A 24,611-nucleotide genomic window follows, 5' to 3' on the forward strand; every position below is an offset into this window, starting at 1 on the left:
GTCTCTGATGTCACTCCTCAGGGGACTCAACCCTGGGCTTGCTCACAGTTACCCTGAATGACAGTAGGTTTAGCAGAACTCTCTTTGGTTGTCTCTTCGATGATTTCTCTGTTAAGCTATCTCTGTTGGCATCACACACAACTGTTAGGCTTCACAACAGTTGCTGACAGATTGGTTTATTATTTCTGATAATGTCCTAGAACACAAACAGAAATTGCTTCATAATTGAAGCCAATTAAGTCTAGGCCCCTTTTCAAGGGTAGTGTTTGAGGCCAGGTTTGAAATTTGTTCTAAACTCGGGAAGACTCTACTTAGCCCTCACTTTCCTTGGTTTTCTCTGGTAAACAAGCTGCCCTATGGTTTAGCATATTGCTCTTATGACTCAACAGCCTCTTCTTAAATGCTTGCCAACAAAATCTCTCCCATTTACCAAAGTGCCTTTAAGCTTGAACGTCCCCACACTCTTTTCCAAATATAGTCAGTTCCTTTGGTGAGAACTTTGGAGTTCTCTGGGTTTTCTGGACATCCTCTTCCCTGGACAAATTCTCTTAGCCACTGCTTTTGAGCTGAGGGCAAATGTCTCCTGGAGCTCACTGCTGATTAATGAGCAGAACACTTTAATGGGGTGGCAACCACTATTCTTCTTGGATTGTTTCTCCCACCATCGATCCTCCACCCTACAAGTGAGCTGGGACAAAGGACTTTGGTGTCCCAATATTCTTGCCCTGCTGCACCTGAGGTAGAGTGACTGCCTGCCCCATGAGTGGGAGATGGGGAGTAAGAAAGCCCCCAATCTCTTAGAGTCCCCCTCCTGGAATTTAGCCTCTATACCACAGAACTAAGGGAAGAGGTGTAAGAAATGTTGGCAGCCTCCCCCTCACAGGAAGACACTGGAGGCCATGATTTGGAGCTAAAGGGGGATGGAACCTTATCTCATTGATTGCATCTTCCAAGAGTGGAGCTAGCATCATGCCCAACTGGAAGAGATTAGGGAGGGTGCAAGTTGTGATTCAAGTGCCACAGACTATTGTTATTGTTACTATGATTTAGTAGATTTTCTTGAATAAAAGTTTTTTAATTTGCTCTATACCCTTAGGACAATTTGCAAAGGATGATTGCAAAACTTTTTTTTCAAGTCTTAATTATTTTGCTAGGAGAAGGGTCCAAGGAGTTCTTCATGCCACTGTTCTGAAAGTCCTCCCTAAAGGGATTTTTATTTAATTTGTCTTAGGTTTTCCATAAGGCTTTTTAGAAAATACTCTGAATTGAGATTTTATGTATTTATAGATTTCTTTTATAATTTAGTCTTTAAAAGTTTTTTTAACATAGAGTTGTGAACAACCTAAGCTGTGGACACAGTTTTTTTGTATTTATTTATTTATTTTTAATTCTTTTTTTTTTTATACTTTAAGTTCTAGGGTACATGTGCACAATGTGCAGGTTTGTTACATATGTATATATGTGCCATGTCGGTGTGCTGCACCCATTAACTCATCATTTACATTAGGTATATCTCCTAATGCTTTCCCTCCCCACTTCCCCCACCCCACAACAGGCCCGGTGTGTGATGTTCCCCTTCCTGCTGTGGACACAGTTTTAATTATTTTCTTCTAAATCTTAGAAGCTTTCTTTTCTCTTTCTTTGGATGATGAGAAAGGGAAAAAAGAGACTTACTCGTCTGATGAAGAAAACACTACACTAAGCTCTTCTTTTGCCAATGACAATTTATTCTATTGAAATGGAAACTAAACCACTTATATCCAATGGTCTACATCAGGGGCATCCAATCTTTTGGCTTCCTTGGTCCACATTGGAAGAAGAAAAATTGTCTTGGGCCACACATAAAATACTATTAATACTTGGGCCACACAATAATACTAACAATAGATGATGGTCTAAAAAAAATCACAAAAAATTTCATGTTTTAAGAAGGTTTACAAATTTGTGATGGGTCACATTCAAAGCCGTCCTGGGTCACATGGGGCCCACAGGAGTTGAACAAGCTTGGCCTAGATTAACAAGCCAGTTCTGATGATATTATAGTCTTGAGTACAAGTCAGGATAATTGGTGGTTTGGATACCATCCTACCTGGAGGAAAGAGGTAGGACCAGATCTCTTGGCCTTTCTTCCTAAGAAAACATGAGCAGGGCTGGGTTCTAAAATAAGAAGTACCTGTAGAAAACATGATATAGATTTCTTTTATTTATTTATTTATTTATTTATTTTTTTATTATACTTTAAGTTTTAGGGTACATGTGCACATTGTGCAGGTTAGTTACGTATGTATACATGTGCCATGCTGGTGCGCTGCACCCACTAACTCGTCATCTAGCATTAGGTATATCTCCCAATGCTATCCCTCCCCCCTCCCCCCCCACCACAGTCCCCAGAGTGTGATATTCCCCTTCCTGTGTCCATGTGATCTCATTGTTCAATTCTCACCTATGAGTGAGAATATGCGGTGTTTGGTTTTTTTGTTCTTGCGATAGTTTACTGAGAATGATGATTTCCAATTTCATCCATGTCCCTACAAAGGACATGAACACTCCCCTCAAACTAAACTCTTTGGCACAGTCTAAGTAAAAATATAATAGTGTTCAGGAAATATAGTTGAGGTGCCCACAGTGTGATGTGGACAATCCCAAACTCACTGTAAGTGTCTGATTTCATCATGGCCTGAGTCTGTATTTCATCAGAATTAATTGACTCAGGACATAATATTTGAAAAGCATTCTGTAAACTAAAGTTCTTTGCAAACATCTGTGATGGGGATTTTTAAAAACTTAATAATTAACAAACCTAATAACTAGTAACTGTAATGAACCATTGTGTACACTGAAATGGGGCTTGAGATATACAGATAATAGCCCCATGTTCAAGGCATTAACAATATCACATACAAGTACAATTGTTTATGATAATAAATTATATGTATAACAAGTAATAAATGCTCTGAAAGATTTTCTCAGCCAGGCATTGTCTAGAAATTCATTACAGAGAACACGGGATTTGAACTGGCCCTCGGAAGTAGTCTCAGAAGAGGAACCAAGAAAGACAAGAAGTAAGACACAAAGAAAGACAAAAAGAAAAAGAAAAAGAAAGAAAAGAAAAAAGAAAGGAAGAAAGAAAGAAAGGAAAGGAAAGAAAGAAAGAAAGAAAAAAGAAGGAAGGAAGAAAGAAAAAAAGAGAGGAAGAAGGAAGGCAGGCAGGCTGAGGAAATAAGAGGAAGACAAAGAGATAGAGTGGAAAAGGGAGGAAGAAAGAGAGGTAGAGACAGACGGACATCAGACAGGATAAAAGCCAGTTCACCATACAATAAATCCATCCATTCAGCAGAGGAGGAGACATAATGAAAGGAAGTTCCAGAAGTTAAGCATAAAGCGATGGGATAGGTTCGAGTATACACAGGGACTTGAATGCTGGCTAAAGGAATTTAGATTTATCCGGAAGACATCAGAGTGTTCTGAATGAACACTTAACAGTCAGGGCAATTATTCATTAAAAACATAAAGCAAAATAAAAGAGATTTTAAAAATATATTTGAGGAGTTACTTCAGGAATAGTTAAATGATTTGAGATATCAGAAAGAAATTGACCAAAGAGAAACCCAGTCATGGGAAGCCAAGCAACTTCATTTGAGGCTGGGGACCTAGAGATATCTCTTGCTCAGAGAAACAGTCTCCTGAATAGAGACCAGGAATGAGATGGGATTATTCTCAGAGATGGGCTCCTGTCTTCAGACCAGGTGGGGACTCTGATAATGGTGGGAGCTACATACTTGAGACACTACCTTTCTAATTTGGTACATTTAAGAGGACTAGTTGTATTCTCAAGCTACAACTACAGTTTGCCTATTTGCCGATTTTTCACTTACAAGCTTGTGTTACCTATTAATTTGTCTGTATTCCCTCTGGAGAGTGAAAGCTTTGAAACATAATATAGACATCTTATTCTTTCTTGTATCCAGTACATAGTTGGGACTTAATAAATATCAAATCACATAATTATAGACACAATCTGAACCAGGAAGAGAAGTGGAGTGGGATTAGAATAAGAACATTACATTTCTGTGGTCCTGATTTAAAACTGGCTGGACTTTTAAGTTTATCTGGAAGACAGTGCAGCTCAGGGGCCTCAAACAGGCTCACTTAATGAGCTAGGCAAATCTAGATGCTGGACACACTCCATCCTATATGTGATGAAATTCACTGTACTGAAAAGGAGGGGGCTAAGAGATTTCTGTGGGCAATTTATTATGGGAGGTGGTCTGGGAGAGATATAGAAGGGGCAGGAAGTGTAGTTTGCCTAGGGCAGAGCCTCCAGAAAGAACCCTCAGCCCTAGGCAGAGACAGTAAGGGTTGGGTACTTGCTAGTTAACTTCAAAAAAATGCATTTGTGATGTGTGAGGTCTCTGAAGCATGTGTTTAAGTGGTGCAGGTCTTGGGTGGGGAAAAGGAGCAACTGGTGCATTGAGACCAGTGTTACTTTGCCTTCCTGCTAATGCTTAGTGCAAGGGAAGCACTTCTGAGGCACCATCAGAGTTATTTCTGGTGTCTGAGGGAAGAAAAGAGGAGAAAGAGAAGGAGAGAGAAAAGGGAAAAGGAAGTAAAGGAAGATGGGGTCTATCCCTGAGGCTGTCTAAATCAGGCACTCTCTCTCCAGGGCTCTGCTCTAACAGAGTGAGCGAGGTTTCATACCATTCTTCCACCTGCTGTTTCACTCACAAAGATCTTCTCTTCCTCCATCCAAACTGCATCTCAAAGTTTTCCCAGATGAAGCAATTGAAACCTGATGATCCTGCCCTGCTGGATTTTGGGATCCAATAGCTGCTCCTTTTCTGGCCTTGTCCTATTTTCCACCCTGGTCTTCATACCCTCTCCCATACCCCAACCCTACTCACCTTTGTCCTATACATGATTTGAAGGCCTTTGAGGACTGCCCCTACAGTCAGAATGTTCCTTGTAATTGCTCATCTTTTTATTTACCCAACTGTTTCCTGAATACCTACTGTGTGTCAGGCATCAGAAATACAGAGGCAGGTGAGGCACACTCTTGAGCAGCAGGGAGTTTCATCAGTGCCTTTTAACTTAGCTGGGCACACCAGGAGCGATTCTGAGATGGAAGCATCCAGAGGTGAGGGACTGTGTTTAGAGAATGTTCCCAATTTAAGCACTGCCAAAACATGATTATCTCAATTTTCATGAAAGCTAAAGAAGAACTTTTCACTCTGTGGAAGGCTTTTCCACAATGTCCCTTGATAATTCCAAGAACAGCTCCCCTTTTGCATTTAAGAGACAGCAGGTGTGTGAAGGTTTTGCTTCCCACCCTCTGCTCAGCCTATTGTGTAAGGTGAGGTCCACCCACAGAGTTCCCTGTAGTATTTATGAAAGGGTGTTCACAAATGCCTTAGGGGAGAATGATGGAAACAAGAAGTCAAGGTCTCGTCCACAAAACAAAATGAGTTGGGCTTTATTTTATTCCTGTTTTTTTCTCCTGAAACACAAAGTCTTTTCTAATGGCACATAGACTGTTTCATTCAACAAATACTAATGAGTATTTTCTTTGTGTCAGGAACAACATCAGGCTCTAGGAATGCAGAAGTGATAAAGGCACTGTCATCAAATAACAGTTTAATAGGTGAGATAGGATATGTATCTTGGTCACACGACCCAAAGCAATAGTAAAGGCTGTGACATGTATCTATAAAGGTCAGAGGATGAAGGACTCATGTGTGGCTAGAGCAATGGGCCAATCTCCACAGAGGTGATGACACGGAATGGGATGCTGACAGTCATGGATGATGGGTGGGGAGTAGACAAGGAAGGTCTTCCTCAGACCCTGGGTGATGTCGAACCTGATTTTTCCCTCCAATCCTACATAGAATTCAACAGCAGCTGCAACCCGCCCAGCCTCCCAAGGACATCATCCAGATTAGCCAGTGTACCCACTTCTGCGTAGGCCAATCTGAAGGCCCCAGCCTTCTGCTCACTCACGCACCTGCAGATGCCTTTGAACCACATCCCAGCTACATGTAGCTGAGGAATCTAGCACTGGGAATTGTGAAATACCCAGATCAATCATCCACTCCATGGCTCTCCTCCAATGACATGTGGCCTGGAGGCTTCAACTGGAGGATATATAAAAGAGCCTCTTACTTCCTGGCAACACAAGGCCTCCAGACTCCTCCTGGGATAACTTGTCCACACATCTTCCACTAGGGTAAGGCTACTTCTGGCTGAGGAGACACTTGGATGTAGCTCAAGTGCTGCTTAGGCAGTCCTGATCTCTCCTCTCGTCTCTTCCCAGGGAGCTGAAAAGCCAGGTAGGAGATGCTTGGGGTAGAAAGAAGGGAAGAGAAGTGGATCCCTGCAAAAGAAAGACCCCAAATAATCTAACATGGGAGAAAGCCATAGAAGTTAGAGGGCCAGAAAAGCAGAGATGGGACAGTCAGACTTAGGAGTCTGGGGACAGAATAAGACAGAGTAAAGAAAGAGCAGAGACTTGGCTCTCCTTTGCACTTAACCAGGTGGACATTGGGCTGGGAAAAGTAAACTGTCAGCTCAACTAAGTACAATTTGTCTTTTTTTTTTTTTAAGGAAGCATATATCATTAACATGGTTATTAGTAAGTGAGTCCCCTGGGAAGATTTACTCCCAAATATTTAGTCCTTTCAAGTCCGTTTTTCTCCTCCTGAGATGGAGTTCAGTGGGTTGTAAATGCTGGACTTCATTTTTGACAGCTCCAGTTTGTGGAGGAGAGAAACAGAAGCCCAAGCTGCCTGGGTCCCTGATATAACTATTTTTCTTCCAGATTCGACCTGGTAGCCAAGCAATGTCACAGCAGAAGCAGCAATCTTGGAAGCCTCCAAATGTTCCCAAATGCTCCCCTCCCCAAAGATCAAACCCCTGCCTAGCTCCCTACTCGACTCCTTGTGGTGCTCCCCATTCAGAAGGTTGTCATTCCAGTTCCCAAAGGCCTGAGGTTCAGAAGCCTAGGAGGGCTCGTCAAAAGCTGCGCTGCCTAAGTAGGGGCACAACCTACCACTGCAAAGAGGAAGAGTGTGAAGGCGACTGAGCCCAGAAGAGTTGAGGCACAGGTGCAGTTACTCTCTCCCTGCCCCACCTTTGGGTACTAATTCCCCCTTGGAAAGCCAGGCCCTCAACCTCTCATTTGGACTGAGAAACACTTCCTGATCCCCAGCTCTAGAGAAGCGAGAACTAGGCTGAGCCACGCTGCTACTGCTCTCTTCCATTCACCCCTTCAGCTCAGCAACAATAAAGCTGCTTTACTTGGAGCCCTGACTTCTGTGAGTTCTTGAGACCCCTGCTCAGATGTACTGAGACCCCCGCTTCAACCCAAGTGCATGGTGCTTCTCCTCCTTCCTCTTAAGACAGCTGATAGTATTTTTAAGAAGCAGATGTTCTGGGATTTATGTCCCAGTTTCCAGCAGCCTCACAGCCATCAACCCATGTCATTGCATGATTCTAGCACCAAAGACTACAATAAACATATGTTGAGCACCTACTGTGTACTGGCCTCTGTGTTTACAGATGTAAGTGGGAAATTTGTCCCTGCTCTAGAAAGCTTATAATCCAGTAGGAGATGCAATGGACACTTCAGATAGAAACAAGTGGATTAGTAAATATCATTTTAAGCTGATTAATTTACTCATTTTTATCTCTCATTTGTGTTCAAAAGAACTTAAAGCAGAAATTTAAAAAGTACCTTAGGTCAAAGACAGCAGAGAGAGGAGAACCATTCTGATGGTGTGGATCAAATGTGGTTTCCTAGGCCTTGGAAGGAAAGAGAGTATCCCACTTGGGAGTGGGGAGAAGAGGCTCCCAGACCTCTAAAGATAGCAGACTTTGGTGCTAGGAGGTGCAGTGAAGAGGAAAGTTCATCCAGGTGGAAGATCCAGCATAAACAAATGCATAACAAGGGTGGTACTTGCCAATGGTGTGTATTTCAATTTGGCTGGAGTGCCAGGTGTGAGATGAGAGATATGACACAGTTCATAACCCCAAGTCTTCATGATAATTCAAACCAGCTGAGTTTACTGAGCTTTAGGTATCAAACACCAGCTACCAAAAGATCATACCTCTGGGAAAAGTCTGGGCCCAAACCCCAAGTCTAGTAGTCTGAGATGAGGGAAGCATGACATAAATTACACAGACTTGAAGGGGACTTGAAGCTCAACTATGATGCATATAAATATAAGTTTATGTAAATAATTTTGTTGATCTGCATTTTTGGCAAGACATTAAAAGCATTACTTTTTTTAACCAAATATCCAACTCAATAGATTGTATTGACCAGGCTCAGAACAGAATTTCAACCTGTAATATCCAGTATATGGGATTCTCATTTTCAGAGCTTAGTAATTCTCCTCATTGCTGGGACATGATGTCACCTTTGTGATGACACACATCTATATGCAGATATGTATCATGGTTATATATAATTATAATTTCATATGCATGATTTTTCTCATTAAACAAATGACACACACTTGTATAAAGATTTGTTAATGGGCATATGTAACTAACCTGCACAATGTGCACATGTACCCTAAAACTTAAAGTATAATAAAAAAAAAAAAAGAAAAAAAAAAGATTTGTTAATGGAGATAAGCTTAAGGAAGATGACTAAGATCAACCTAAAAATCCTATCACCTAAAAATAACCATGGCTAATCATTTCATAGATGTATTTGCAAACCTTTAAACATCACACAATGGGTTCATTACAGAATACTTTATAACCTACATTTTTTTTACTGTTAAGTAAATGGTAAAATTGAACAAGAGTCATTGTCAATACTCTTCCATGCTGGTAAATATTGATCAACACTATTTACACATGATATTCACAAACACATCATGGTCTGCATAACTAGGTCTCCAATACTGGGCATTTATGTTGTTTTTGCACTTGCTGTCAAGTGTAATTTAAAATAATCATTCCCATTGATAGTTACTCTTAATTTTCTTAGAATAAGTTTTTAGAATTGGAATAAATTAGCAAAACTATGAAGACTTTTTCAGACTCTTCAGCAAGACTGCATTTTGGGAGCAATAAAAATTACTCCACTTAAGAAATTAATTATGGTAGAGGGGATTTCTTTTGTTTGAGAGCAAAAGTGAATACAAAGTTAAAAGACTGCCCATGTTTATAGTGGAAAAAGTCCACTTTTTGAGAAGAGACACTTCCTAAAAAGCTTGAGAGGTGTCCACCTATTTGCCATCATAAAATCTATACTTTAAAGAAAGTTTAGATGCCTTCCTCTTTTGAGGAAAAAAGAGTGCTTTGTATTATATGAAGCAATATCTTATGAATATTGATATACCATTGTTTGAAATTTTGTGTCTATATTTGCATGAGAGATTTTTGGGAAGAATCCCATATTTCCCTAGGAAAAATACAAAATATCAATGTTGAGTTGATTGTGTAAAGCTCAATGTGTAAGAACATCTTTTTTTCTACTTTTTATTTCTGCTCTTTATTGAAGACAGGTATTTACCAAAGGAAAATTTTTTAAAAAGTTTTTACAGAAACTGTTTTTCTTTGACAGGAATATTACTTACTATTTTGGCCTACTCAGCTTTCTCTAGTCAGTACTTGAATTCCCTGTGCTAAGTGTTCAACCTATGTATTATTCTATAGATACACTGGTTAGTCTGTGTCAAATTGATTTCTAAATTACTACAATGAAAATAAACTAATGATTTGATTATTGTTTTTCTTTATAAAGGCTGTATTTGGCATCTTCACAATTCCTAAAATATGCCTGTACATCAGAAATGTCAATAGGAGTGACTTTTTTATATGGCTTTAGGATGGCTTCATTTTAATACTACATGTACATTGTATTTTGTTTTATAGTAATAAGTAATGAAAAATGCAGACTTTATATTTTACACAAAATGTCCTGTAAATCTATATATATGTTATGATTTATACATAAATATATATGTAGTTTTAAGCATTCTCACCACAAAAAAAGGTATGTGAGATAATGCATGTTAATTAGCTTGATTTACTCATTCCACAATGTACACATTATTTCAAAACAATATGTTGTACATGCTAAATATATACAGCACAAATTTTATTTGCCAGTTAAAATAAATAAATACATGTATTTTTTAAATGTCCTATATATAAAATTTTGTAACTTCATAGGAACAACAAAAGTAGGTAAATGGTACAATTCCTTTTATTTAGAATATATCTAACTTTATGCTTTTAACAAATGTTAAAAATCTTACATATATTTTACATCTTTTAATTCAGAAAACTTTATTTTGACAGAAAAACTTTATATATTTGATATTTAACATATTATTTTATCTAATTTTTAGAAAATGTTAAATGCTATATTGTTTGGACTAAATAAAGAACACATAAGTTAAAAGAAAAAAAGGTGCTAGGTGTTTAGAAGCGCTCCCCAGGGACTTTGAAACATCCCCAGGTGTCAGTTCCTAACACTACTCTGTCTTCCTTAACAAGTCTGGACTCCAGCCTTCCAGCAAGCAAGCTCTTGCACGGAAGCTGAACTTGAGCCCAGTGATCTCAGTTCAGGCCATCCACTGCCTCAATATGCCCAGCTTTTCCGGGTCTCCAGCCAGGACAAATAGGGCCCTCTTCAGCCTGGCCCATGGTCAACATAGTCAACCTCTACTGCGGCTGGCATAGCCCACTCCCTAAGTATAACACCTTTTTAGCAGCTATGAGTTTACAGTGTTTGACAGGCGGTATTTTGCTATTGGATGGTATACACTTCATGATACAGCATAAATAATAAGTCGTTCCTTTTATTTATTCCTGTACAGATATCACAAATAATATATTAAAATAAAATTAATCTAAAGTGAAGGAAATGCGGTGCTGATTTAGTACGAAGTCAAGAAATACTGCCAAAACTTCAGGAATGAAGAAATAGAGTTTTAATTATAGCATTTAAAGTTATAGAGGTAGCCAATAATGATATTAAAATTAAAAATATGTCTAAATAAGAAGGAGGGAGGGAAGGGATGATGAATGTGAGCTTAATTCTGTTTTTTATTGAGAAGGTAAATAGACACGGCCTAAGAAATAAATGTATAAGCAGATTATTTAGACTGATACTTAATTTTTTCATATTACAACTATTTGGATTACCTGACTTTAAATTTTCATTTAAATGTATTGCTTTTCTATAAATAAATAACTAAAAGCCCATCCCCTTTTTTCACATGCATCTGTAAGAGTCCTAGGCCAAACCTTCCCTAACAGAGCAAGTACAAGTTGAAATCCTGTCAGATGAAACTCACTTCAAATCTTTGACAACTCCGTGGCTTTATGAAAATTTCTGTACCTCTGAAATCTTCCTCATCTAAAAATTAGATAAAAATTATAGTATCTGCCTTGTGAGACTGTGGAGGGATCGCACATGATATCATAGGTAACATGTACTGCATATCTAACTCAATTTAACTCCAAGTTGTAAGTTCGTTGTAGTTTACATTTGGGGTACATTCTATTTTTTTAAATAGATTGTTTATTTTATAATAATTTTAGATTTACAGAAAAATTGCAAACATAGTTAAGAATTCCTGTATATCTGCACTCAGTTTCCTTTGTTAATATCTAACATTAATAGTAAATTTGTTATAATCAATTTTCTGTGTTCCTGAGTCCCATTTAGGAAAATCAAGTTATAGTCAGTGGTCACATCTCCTCAGGTTCCTCTTGACTGTGACTGTTTCTCAGACTTTTTTTATTAAGTTGGTGCAAAAGTAATAGTGCAATTAATTTTGCACCAACCTAGTATTTTGGATGACTTTGACAGTTTGAGCAGTACTGTTGGGTATTTCGTAGAGTGTCTGTCAATTGAGATTTGTGTAGTGTTTTTCCTATGATTATAATAGGATTATTGACCTTTGGGAGGAAGACCACAGAGGTTAAGTGCCATTCTCATCACATCATATCAAGGTTATATAGCAATGTGACCTCACTGCAAACACTGACCCTGGACAGTGTTCATCAAGTTTCTCTATTGTAAAGTTACTCCATTTCTTTCCCTTTCAGTACTCATGTCTTAGGAAGGATGTCACTCCACATCACCCATTCCAAGGGCAAGACACCTCCTTATGGGGCTGGGAGTACATGTTATATATGCTGTATAAATTATTTGTAATTCTTCTCTATGAGAGATTTTCCTATTTTCCCTCCCTTTTTAAGAACTATACAATCATTTCTTCTTATCAGCATGAACTGATGGATATTGGATAATATTTATGTCATACTTTGGGTTATAATCCAATATATGTCATTTACTTGTTGCTCATATTTTTCCAGCCTTGGGAACTCTTTCAGTTGGCTCTTGTGTCTCTTCCCCAATAACACCACCACTTCCTTTTCAGAGCACTCCCTGGCTTTCTGGTCATACAAGATGCTTCAGACTTATCTTGTATAGTCTCTGTCCTGAACCTAGATTAACTCATTGCTCTAGTGAGCCTTGGCTTCTGTTATTGAAAAATTGTGTTGTAAACCAAGTGTGTTGGTTGTGCTCATTGCTAGTGGAATGTCATTGCTTCTAAGCTTTCTCAGTGGACAGAGATTAGAAATATATGTGCATATACTAATCAGTGTATATCCATAATTATTTCAATATGTATCCATCTTTTTCTGTATAAGCTAACCATTAGTTTATACTGATGTCCTTAACTCTAATTTAGTATCACATGGTTTATTCTAGCCTTCCTTGCTTAGCTATCATTTCTTACTCCAATATTGAGAAATCAGGCTCTCACCATCTGCCGTATATTCAATTATATGTTCAATCCCAGTTTGCCTATATGGTGTACTCTATTTTAAAAACAAAATTATAAAATGCTCAGTAGTCAGTGTATCCTATGTAAACAACATTTTTTTCTTGACTTTGCAGGTTATATGATTGTTTATTGAAAAGAAAGAATGAGTGAGCCAGGGTTCTTGAAACTGGGTAAGGATGGGATCAAGGTAAAGACAGAACATCCTGAAGGTCAAGGAGCTGAACAGAGCCTCAGCATCGTGGCTTAAGGCTGTAATCTCAGTACTTTGGAAGGCCAAGGCTGGAAGATCACTTGAGCCCAGGAGCTTGAGACCAGTCTGGGCAATATAACAAGATCTCATCTGGACTAAAATGGTAAAAAAAAAAAAAAGAAAAAATAGCTTGGCATGGTGGCATGCAGCTGTGGTACCAGCTACTCAGGAGACTGAGGCAGGAGGATCCCTTGACCCAGGAATTCAAGGCTTCAGTGGGCTATGATTGTACCACTCACTGTACTCCAGCCTGGGCAACAGAGTGAGACGGTCTCTAAAAAGGAGGAGCAGCTAGTGGGGGTTGGAGGCTGAATAGAAGTAGGCTTTCACTCCATGGGGACCTCCTTCTATCAAAACCTCCTACTCAGCTTCCTCCTCCTGCCATTCCATCTTAACAGACCCACTTCTGAGAACAAGCTTCCTTCGTATAGTTTGGACACAAAGAGTGAGGTTATGGGTATCTTGCATGGGGTTATGGGCATGAGAGGGCCTCACTCCATATAAGGCACAGGTTGAAACAGTTTTGATTGTCCCTATGAAGCAGAACAGGAGTGAACATAGCATCTCTGTTACACAACTATAAATAGGAAATCAGGAAACCATAGGGAACAGGCTGTGAGTAGATAAAAGAGCACATGATATTCAATCTGCAACCTACATAGTTGCTATACCTCAGCCTAATGAGTAGTTCTGAACTTCCTGACATACAGAATATAAACAGACAGTCTATTATACACTCGTTTTTTCTTCAAAGAAAGGATAGACCATCATAACAGTGGATTCTAAAAGAAATTGTTTGCAATAGTCAGCAAGACGCTTAACAACACTCTTACAACAAATACACAGATGGTTGACAAACCCATACTGCTTTGTCTCCCATTGAAAAACACACAGTACATTGAAACAGAATGTTATTCATGATATGGCAGAAAGGGTATACCAAGAATACAAGGAAGCAAAAATGCAGATGCCTAAAAGCAGAAGGTCTCTCAGGCCAACCATAGCTTGGCTTACAAGATACATAATTTACCCATCTGTGAAATGTGGACAATAAAAAACTTAATGCATCACTCTAGCATAAAATGATGTCCAAATAAGATAAAAGAGCCCTAACTAAATGTGTTTCTTGCTACTTCATTCACCACCCTTCACAGATATCATCTAACATCTAGCCAGGGAAGATTTCAATACCACCTACACCTTTTACATACACACACACACATACACACACGCATGCATGCACGCACACACAGAGTCTATAACTCTTCTCTCTCTAGCAGCTCTGCCAGTTCTCTCAAGTCCTTGTTTCTCACTGGCCCCAATCCTCCTCCTCTGAGCTCCAATATGCCCTCCCTACATGGACCTAGAGGTGCCTCCTTATCTTTCTAATAGTCAGTCCTGGAGTTACATCCTTATCTCTGTCAGAATCTCTCTGCCCTGCTTTGATTGCTGGAGGAGTAGAAATGATCGAGGCACCCTGAATCTAATGAGAACTCAGCCCCTGCCTAGACCAAGGACTAACTCTAATGGCTTCTCTAATGTCCAGTTTGTTCTCACAGCCTACAGGTAAATATTTTAGGAAACTTTCCCTATTATGGCTTTATACAATAAGCCTGATATGTGAAAATGGTTCCCCAAGTGTAAGACTCCAACCTTGAATCCTTGCCCAATCCATGTCAGTATCCATTGTCATGGCTGCAGCCCCAATCTATATGTGACTTGGGGTGATTTTTTATAAGAAATGGAAGTGGTCCTGAGAGTGGATTAGGGAGAGTGTTGTGAAACCAGCTTTGCTTAGTCACCAACATGCTCTCTTGGCATTCATGGGTATTCATAAATCATGGGAGAAATAAAGAGATAGGCCCCCATCATTGAGGGACACTGAGCTAAACAAATGATAATAATAATAAGAAGAAGAAGAACAGCAACAATCTGTATTTATATAGTGCTTACTACGTACCAAGTACTCTTCTAAGCACTCTACTCATATTACTTATTTAATTCTCACAACACCTCTATGAAGGAGATGTTATCACCATTTTACAGACCAGCAACTAAGGCAGAGATGTCAAGTGACAAGCCTAAAGTTTACAACCAGTAAGTGACGAAACCTAGGCTTGAAGTTAGGAAATCTGGCTACCAACACTAAACACTGAGCTGCTATGCTGTGCTCCCAGAAGTGTGATGCTGTGCTCCCAGAAGTGTAGTGCTGGATGGGCATGCTCTCCTCTTGCTACCTTGCATCCCTGCTCCTCCTCCATCCACCCCTAGTCATAAACACTGGGTTGGAACTTAATCAACCCTAGGTTTAGTCTTGATTCTGACACTATTTTAACTTTGTGGATTAAGTAAGGTGACTTCTGTGAACCTCCAACTCTTGTTTCTAAAATGAAGGCCTATAACCAAGCCCACTGAAATATTTTATTTGTAATTAACTCAATCATTCAATGAACCCCTAGTAAGTACCAGCTATATGTAAAGAACTGCTTTATTTAGGTATTATAGTGATTACCTCTTTATGATCTGATCTTATGCATTTTTTGGAGAAAAATTTCTTTTTTTTATTATACTTTAAGTTCTAGGGTACATGTGTACAACGTGCAGGTTTGTTACATATGTATACATGTGCCATGTTGGTGTGCTGCACCCATTAACTCGTCATTTACATTAGGTATACCTCCTAATGCTATCCCTCCCCACTCCCCCAACCCCATGACAGGCCCCAGTGTGTGGTGTTCCCCACCCTGTGTCCAAGTGTTCTCATAGTTCAACTCCCACCTATGAGTGAGAACATGCGGTGTTTGGTTTTCTGTTCTTGTGATAGTTTGCTCAGAATGATGGTTTCCAGCTTCATCCATGTCCCCACAAAGGACATGGACTCATCCTTTTTTATGGCTGCATAGTTTTCCATGGTGTATATGTACCACATTTTCTTAATCCAGTCTATTATTGATGGACATTTGGGTTGGTTCCAAGTCCTTGCTATTGTGAATAGTGCCGCAATAAACATACGTGTGCATGTGTCTTTACAGCAGCATGACTTATAATCCTTTGGGTATATACCCAGTAATGGGATGGCTGGGTCAAATGGTATTTCTAGTTCTAGATCCTTGAGGAATTGCCACACGGTCTTCCACAATGGTTGAACTAGTTTACAGTCTCACCAACTGTGTAAAAGTGTTCCTATTTTATTGGAGAAAAATTTCTAACAAAGATAACAATGTGGAAAGAAATGGACTGCCTTGTGAGGTAATGAGTTCTCCAACTAAAAGCATTTTCATTTAGGCCAGGAAGCTCACCACTAGGCATGTGGGTGAGGAGATACAAGCTCCTGGTGGAAAACCACACTACATTCTTTCTAAGGCCTCTGCAAGGCTAAATAAGTTTGTGAGTTTACTATGCTTCCTGCATCTTTCAATTTCCTAGGAAGATCCCTAGAGGAGCTCAGAGGAAGGTGGTAGGACTGTGAAAATGTTGTTACCAGAATGTTTCATGGGCTGGCTATAGTTCTACGGTTCTACCAGAACATGCCAGGACAGTGGCTACCAAACTAGGTAGAATAACCTGGGAAATAGTTAACCAATGTAAATCATAAAGACCCACTCCTTGGAGATTATGATTCAGTAGGTCTTAGTTAGAGACCAGGTGTCTGCTTCTTTTATTTTTTATTCATTTATTTTATTATTATTATTATTATTATTTTGACAGAATCTCGCTTTGTCACCAGGCGGCTGGAGTGCAGTGGCACTATCTCGGCTCACTTCAATCTCCACCTCCTGGGTTCAAGCCATTCTCCTGCCTCAGCCTCCCGAGTAGCTGGGATTACAGGCGCGTACCACCACACCCAGCTAATTTTTGTATTTTTAGTAGTGATGGGGTTTCTCCATGTTGGCCAGGATAGTTTCAATCTCCTGACCTTGTGATTTCCCTGCCTTGGCCAACCAAAGTGTTTGGATTACAGGCGTGAGACACCACACCTGGCCGGGATCTGCATTTTAAAAGTACTTCCAAGATGGCTCATGTTCCCAACCAGGTTTGCAATTCTTGATCTACAACAGCACTGAGAGTCCAGGACAGCTTCCTTGCTTTGCGCAGTTCTTTGCCGGGCTTGCCTTATTGCTCTGCACCCTTACAGACTGTGTGATATGCACTTACTTTTAACTGTCCAGTATTCAGTTTTTCTAGATGCAATAATAACAAACTCTCAAGGTTGTTAAGAAGAGAAAATAAAGCATGTGAAATGCAATACAATGCATTACAAAGCATGTGAAATGTAATACAACGTATTACAAAGCATGTGAAATGCAATGCATGGAGGGATGTGAGGGGCTTCCCTTGTGTGACCACCATCACTAAAAGAATGAATGGTTTAGAACTACAGGCTCACAGAGTGATGGAACACGGGGTCTTGGTGTCACAGGTGAAGGTGTGGGCTCCAGAAAGATTGAGCAACTTGCCTAATGCTTCTTAATGTGTCCCCCCATGCCCTTAAGAGTTTTGTAGTGGCTTTCCTAGGTAAAAACACTACTGAAAACAGGCTTTGAGGTGAAGGGTGGTGATAAGAGGGATTCATCTTCCCTACCTTTCTCTTAAGATGTGTTAATTGCAGGATGAGAGATACAGTCCAGCTGGGTTATCTCCTTTAGGCACAGTGGAGAAAATGATGGAGAGATCAAAGGCATGGAGTTGTGATGAGCCAGAGATATCATCAGAACAACTGTTTCCAAGAATAGGAGGGCGGTGGAGCCAAAGATCTGTTCTGCTCACCTTAGTTGGTAGAATTCATCTTTAACATCAGCAAAAAGACATGAAGTTTCACAGGAGTCAGAAAGCTCTGTCATTGTAGGCAGTGGAGTCTCCTTTCTTAGAAGATTCAGAAACATATTCTTGGGATTTTAGAAATATATTCTTATTTAAAAATATATTCTTGGGTCTGGAGGAAAATGATAGGCAAGATGATCACTCTTCATCCCTTCCTATTTTAGGATTAACAGGCATCACTTGATGGTGACATGTGTAAATACAGGCTCCTGATAAGGTGTTTTAGCTATTGCTCCATTCACCAAAGTCAACCAAGAAGCCAGGGCAGGGCCTAGGATCCAAAGAGGGCATCGTTCCATGTGTTACATAGGAGAAGGATTGGCGAAGCTATCGGAGACAATAAATCAGGGAGTCACCCAGGCTCTAATATGGTCTAGAGCAACCACAAGCACAGAGATCTCATAATTACCTTAGTGATCAAGATGAAAGCAACAATACTCATTTTACAAATGAAGAGACTGAGGCCCAGAAGAGGCAAGTGGCTCATAGCTGGTCAGAGTCAGGACTAGGCTTGTGCTCCAGGGATGACCTGCTGCTTCTTTCCAAGGGAGTTTTCTACAGCTGGAGATATTAGGGAAAAGAGGGGCCACAACACTGGTACGAGATGATATTGGTGTGCATCCCCCATCCTAAAGGAATAGAGCTCAGCATCTGGAGAATAACTGGGACTGTAATAATAATGCTTATAGTTGTAACTGCAGCTTATGGAATATCAGTTAATTGCTGGGCACTGTGTTGGTTTCTTTTCTCACAGTAATTCTTTTAACCACCATATTATACATGATGGGCCTACCTCTCTAGTTCACACTAAACAGATAGAATGGAGTGCCTGTTTTAAGGCCACCTAATAAAGGTGATGAGAATATGTTATGCTGAATAGTTATTGTCCCTTTCTTCTACCCACTAATTCAGATGGGCACAGAACCATGAGGCAGGTCATTGATCATGGGTCATCACTATTTTCTGTGCTCCAAGAGAAACACAAGCAGCATTGGTCCCTCAGTGGCCCTGTTATGAATCCCATCATCCTTGGGAGGACCATAAATCCTCTCCTAGTGTGGTTTGCCAATCAGACCCACATATGCTCCCTGCCCACAGAGATTCTGGCCCACAGGAGGACTGTTCAAGGGGTTGATTGCTCAGGCAGAAGGATAATCCTTGTTTTCCTTTCTCTCATCACTTGGGAATTAGCTTGATAAGAATCTCATGCATGCCAATGCTAGCTTGGCTGGTACCTCACCGTTTTATTAAGGGGCACACCCAAGCCAGATGGGAATCCTTAACATTCTTGAATCTTCAGGCAGGCAGGATGGTGAGGAAGTGCATGGGCAGATGAGAGTGGAGTCCAGGAATGCACCAGCTATGCCCAGATGGCCTAGGCCAAGCAAAGATCTTCCAGTCATCTTCCAGCAATTCCCCTTTTCTAGAAGCTGATTAACGAAGCTCCTCCCCCAAGTCCATCTCTGATCCTCATTAAACCATCAGGCTGGTCATTCACCATAGGCTTCAGCTTTGTAGATAACCAAATCAAAACAACTAAGACCACCTTATCCTAGTAATCTTTTTAAAATGTAAATCTGATCATACTTCTCCCTTGTTTAAATGATCAGGGATGTCCAGTTGTCTCTGGTCAAACTTTTAAAAGCAGAATCACCCTGTTTTCACATTAAATCATATGTATGCTTCCAATATATAAAGAAGGTAAAGGTATAATTACTTTGATTGCAGCAGGGGGTAGGTACAAGGCCCCCACTGTTGTCTGCTCAGGGTCTCCTTCCCAGGCAGCCTAAATAGTCAAGGATTAATGGTATTTTTAAGTGGAGCTCAAATTTCTGGAACCCTCATATTAATGAGATGGGAATTAAAATTTATTCTCAACATCCTATCCATCAAACATGTTAATTGCATTACCACATTACAATAGCTCTATGAGTTTCTTATTGATAATCCCATTTTTTAGATTTTTTAAATGAAGCTCAAAAAATGTTAAATAACATACAGCTCAAATGCCAATGCCCTGATTCTGAGACCCATATTCTCCCAGATTGTATGCCATGTAAAGACATGAAGCAGATGCAATAGTCTATGGTGGAGGCATGGAGGGAGGGCTAGAGAGTGCACAAAGGCAGAGAAACTCATGTTGTCTGGAGGCTCTCAAAAGAGATGACGGTCGAGCATCCTTGGCAACAGCATTTTAGGAAATATAATTTGGAAGCCATAAATGTATGCTAAAATCACACAATGCATCAAGTAAAGCTTTTAATGTTTTGGGCCTGTCCTTCCTTTCTGTCCAGCAAACATCCCACCTCTGGTTCTTATACACCCAATATTATGGCCACTATCTGTTTCCAGAACAAACCAAGCTCATCCACATCTCTGTGCCTTTGTCAATTCTTCTTCCGTTTACTTAGAATGCCAATTTCCCCTTCACTCCCTGATTAACTCCCACTGATCTTCCAAATGTAACCTCTTCCAAGAGATGTAGTCCCAGACAGTACAAATTTCTGCCTTTGTGCACTCTCCAGCCCTCCCTCCATGCCTCCACCATTGCCTACTGCATTGGCTTCATGTTTTTACACAGCATACAAGCTGGAAGAGTATGCAACCCAGAATCAGGGCATTGGCACTTGAGACATAGGTATGTTATATAATGTTTCTGAGCCTCCCCTTTTTTTTTTTTGAGACAGAGTCTCACTCTGTTGCCTAAGCTAGAGTGCAGTGGAGCTATCTTGGCTCACCGCATCCTCCACTTCCCAGGTTCAAGTGATTTTCCTGCTTCAGCCTCCCAAGTAGCTGGGATTACAGGTGCCTGTCACTATGTCTGGCTAATTTTTGTACGTTTAATAGAGACAGGGTTTTGCCATGTTGGCCACGTTGTCTCGAACTCCTGACCTCAGGTGATCTGCCCGCCTCAGCCTCCCAAGGTGCTGGGACTACAGGTGTGAGCCAGGAGCCTTACTTTTTCTGTAAAATGAGATTAACAAAAAGACACCCATAAAGCTATTATACTATGATAATTCAAATAACATATTTAAAGAATAAATATTAATTCCCTTTCTTTCTCTCATATTATCTCACTTGGACCATTCTCTAAGGACAAGAAAATATCTTAATTTTCTTTGAATTCACAAAACTCTGCAAGTATCAGGCACTCAACAAATGAATTAACATCTTTAAAGTAGCATTTGAAAAGTTACTACAAAAAAGGAGTTTCTGTGGACATAAATAATTCTTCATTATTGAACCAGAAGGTCATTGATGGGTATTAGACCAACACAATAAAATGGTGTTTTCCAACCTTTTTAAATATACTTGTAATACTTTTTGTCAGAAATATCACAGGGAAAGAGCATCATTTTGCCTATCTCTACAGATCTGGGCTTCAGTGGCTCAGAAGAAGAGCCAGAAGAGGCACAACCAGAAGAGAACCACATATATACACTATACTCTGCTTTGGCACAACAAGGCAAGATGTTAAGTCATTTCCTCTGATAAGTGGGAGAAACTGAATAGACTGTATGGAGTTCCTCCCTCATAATGTGACTTACTTTCAACTATCTCACACCCTGGCATAGTCAACATTCCAGCCATCATCTCCACCCTCTTCATCAAGTTCACTGCCACTTCCAATCCCAGATAAAATATATTCAGGGACAAGATCAGACCTGTGCTGAGTGTAAGCTCCGTGGAGTTCTGAGGCTCATAAATAAAAATACCTACTTGAAGATATACCTAAGATAATCTGGTCCAGCCTCTCCTGAAACCCAGAAAGAGCAGCAGAGCAGGGACCAGAGCACTGACTCACAGTGCAAAGCTCCTGCTGCTGACTCCATCCCTGGAGCAGCTTCCCACACCTGCCCCACAGGCCTGCCACTGACCTGGCCTCCCAGGCTACTCTCTCTCAAGGAGTGAAAGGAGGGGAGACCTTTGCCTCAACCACAGATCACCCATTAACTCATTAAACAAATACTTTTGAGCACTTACATTATGTCAGATTCTGTGTAGGTGCTGGAGATAAAGAGTGAACCCATGAACACTGAGATTTCATTCTATCCAGGACGACAGATATTGAAAAACAAATACAAGCAAGTGTTACCAGAAATACAAGGTGCCATGGGAGCATTTCATAGGAGAAACAATACAATTGAGATTGAAGGTGCAAGGATCCAGAGAAAAGGGCTAGGGATAGGTGTTGGAAAAGACAAGGGGCCACTCCTCCCCTGTAACACAGGAAGTCATGAAGGATGGCTGCAGATGTAAGTGAGCTTGAAGACTTAGGAGAAGGAAGCGGAAGTGCTTTATGTTTGACAGGAACTCTTTGCTCCATATGGTAGAGGCAGTACCATCTATCTAGAGGCAGTAGTGAAGGTTTGGAAGATTCAAGGGAGGAGAAAAGCCATGAGGTATGTGCATGGTGAATACAGGGAGGTATACGGGGATCACCAAGCCATGTTTTGGACCAGCCAAGGTGGATGATGGTGATTTTATGATGGTGTCATCCTGCCAAAATGTCTATTTTTGTTTTCATTTTTATAGCAACTAGGCACAACAGGGAGAATTCAGCCAGGGATAAGGCTTTGCCAGTCAAATGCAGTGACAAGCCAAATGGGTAACAAAAGAAAGTTTATTATATTGGCAAAAGAGTAGTTGAAACAATGAACTAAGAAAAGTGAACTGGGTGGGGAGTGGCATGAAAAAAGGAGGGAGCTTGTGGGCAGGGGAGAGACTAGATCCTAGTGGATGTACCCAAGCAAATCCAAAAGAAGGGGCTGCTGTGAAATGGGGGCCTGAATTGATGATCTCAGAGAGTTAGAAGATATGGTTTCTAGTTCAGACTCTGCACAACTTTGAGGTCTCCATTGCCCCCTCTGGCCATATGTTCCTGACCTACGTAGAGTGGAAGTATCCTAAATCCGCTTGCAGCTGGGACTTTCTATGATGCCACATGGTTGATCAATATTTTAGGCACTTTGGTATCTGAATCAAATACACTGAGCCCTCAGTATTGGCCCATGTGTGCTTAGATTATTGGTTCCCATCTTATTGATAATGCCTGCAGAAACCCCGATCAGTGCCTGTGTTGATCTAACATCTGTGACTTTAGATGCCCAGTCATGTTTTGGATTCCTCCAGAAACCCTAATTTCAATTCCCAAGCTATGTCATTATAAATACCCTTCTAAGTCATGATCTTCTAATCTTTATGGAAATCCTGTGAGAGTTTATGAAGGGGAAGGATGCTCTGGGGGATCTGTTAGTGACACAGGGTGACAAAGTGACAGAATGACAGAGCCACTGGAATGTGGGAAGTTGACATCACAACCACCTGGTTGGGAAACAGTTTTCACATCATCTGTGGCTCATTCTCTCTAGTTGAATGCAGTGTGTGTATAAAAGGCTCCCGCTCACAGTGTATCTATCCGTAGTCCCATCGTTTGCCCAGGGTTAAGAGGACAAGGTGAGTGTTTTTACTGATCTGATGGCAGTTTGGGGATGACTAGGGCTGCTACACCTCCTTTTGGAAAAGCCATTCAAAGTTGGAGAGAATGGAAATTGATAATTCCAGGAAGACCAGGCTCATGGCAATCATCGAGGTGGTTCAGAAGCAGCAAACCCAGAAGGAGTGAAGTTAACCAGAGACTGGGGCAGTGCAAGTGTTTGTAGGGCAAGAGACAGCCACGCAGGGCTGAAGAGTAGGGCTAAAGGTACAGCTCATGATGCAAGAAAGAAAAAAAGGGAGATGATGATGAGAGGTGACGTAACCATAGACTCAGGTTAAAAATGTGGTTTTTAGAATGCATAAATTAGAAGATAGGATAATAAGTAAGTGAAGATTTGGGGGACTACATAGTGCCCTAAGCAACTGCCTTTGAAGTCAGGAGTCTTGAGAGAATCAGGCCAGGCACAAGAGAAGATGTCACCAGACTCTAACTTACTCACTGCTGAATCTCTCCTATGTCAGGAAAGCAGGGCTGCTCTGCTATTATGATGTGGCTTCTGGAGCCACATATTCAACTGTAGAATTTCGGGCTCTGTAGAAAAATGTTGATACAAACAAGGTTTACATTAATTAGACTTTTGAAATGTTTGCATTGTTTTTTAGAGTAACTGGACTTTCTCCAAGATGTCCTATCAGAAACACCAGCAGAAATGGCAGCTCCCTGCCAAGTGCCTCCCCAAATATCCATCCAAGTGGACCCCTCAGGCTCCTGCTTCATGTCCAGCTCCATGCCCCCCTCCAGCTCCCTCCTGCTGTGTTTCCAGTTGCTGTATTTCTGGCTTTGGAGGCCACTGCTCTCTAGTTTCACTCCGGTTTCCACGATTCTACCTGCGTCAGCCCCAGCATTCTGACTGCTGTGAGCACGAGTCTTCTAGATGTTCCACTTGCTATAGCTCTGGAGACTGCAGCTGACCTGTGACCTTTGAGGAACCAAAGAACCACAGCCAAGGACCCGCCCTGAGTTGATGTCTTCCCTCACTCTTACCCTCCTCCTTCCTTCTCCTCCTGAACTCAGCTGCCTAGCTCCATAGGTGATGGGCTCCCCCTTTTGCTGAGAACCTCAGGCCTCTTGGCCTTGGCTGTGTTCCTAGATCAAGGAGACCTGCATGCAAAAGAAAAACCTGCTTTTTGAAGCCTGATCTGTGTGCTAAAATAAAGCTTATCTTTCCTGGTGCCCTATATGTTTGTCGATACTCCATCCTCAGCTCTGAAAAGCTCACATTAAT

At 40.7% G+C, this 24,611-nt stretch overlaps 2 protein-coding genes across 3 annotated transcripts; both read left to right on the forward strand.

Moving 5' to 3' along the window:
* The first annotated feature begins 6,167 nt into the window (after positions 1-6,167).
* On the forward strand, positions 6,168-7,295 carry LCE6A (late cornified envelope 6A). Of its 2 annotated transcripts, none has more exons than NM_001128600.2 (2): positions 6,168-6,323; positions 6,812-7,295. In NM_001128600.2, the coding sequence occupies exon 2, from the start codon at positions 6,833-6,835 to the stop codon at positions 7,073-7,075; it is 243 nt and encodes an 80-aa protein (NP_001122072.1). In that variant the 5' UTR covers positions 6,168-6,323; positions 6,812-6,832; the 3' UTR covers positions 7,076-7,295. The 2 variants fall into 2 exon arrangements, with proteins under 2 accessions (NP_001122072.1, XP_016856816.1); XM_017001327.2 differs by having other exon boundaries at positions 6,168-6,220.
* Positions 7,296-23,307: 16,012 nt separating this feature from the next.
* LCE7A (late cornified envelope 7A) lies at positions 23,308-24,564 on the forward strand. Its single transcript, NM_001395990.1, has 2 exons — positions 23,308-23,343; positions 23,989-24,564. The coding sequence occupies exon 2, from the start codon at positions 24,010-24,012 to the stop codon at positions 24,295-24,297; it is 288 nt and encodes a 95-aa protein (NP_001382919.1). The 5' UTR covers positions 23,308-23,343; positions 23,989-24,009; the 3' UTR covers positions 24,298-24,564.
* Positions 24,565-24,611: the final 47 nt, after the last annotated feature.

This window comes from Homo sapiens, chromosome 1, assembly GCF_000001405.40.
Source record: "Homo sapiens chromosome 1, GRCh38.p14 Primary Assembly".
NCBI lineage: Eukaryota > Metazoa > Chordata > Mammalia > Primates > Hominidae > Homo > Homo sapiens.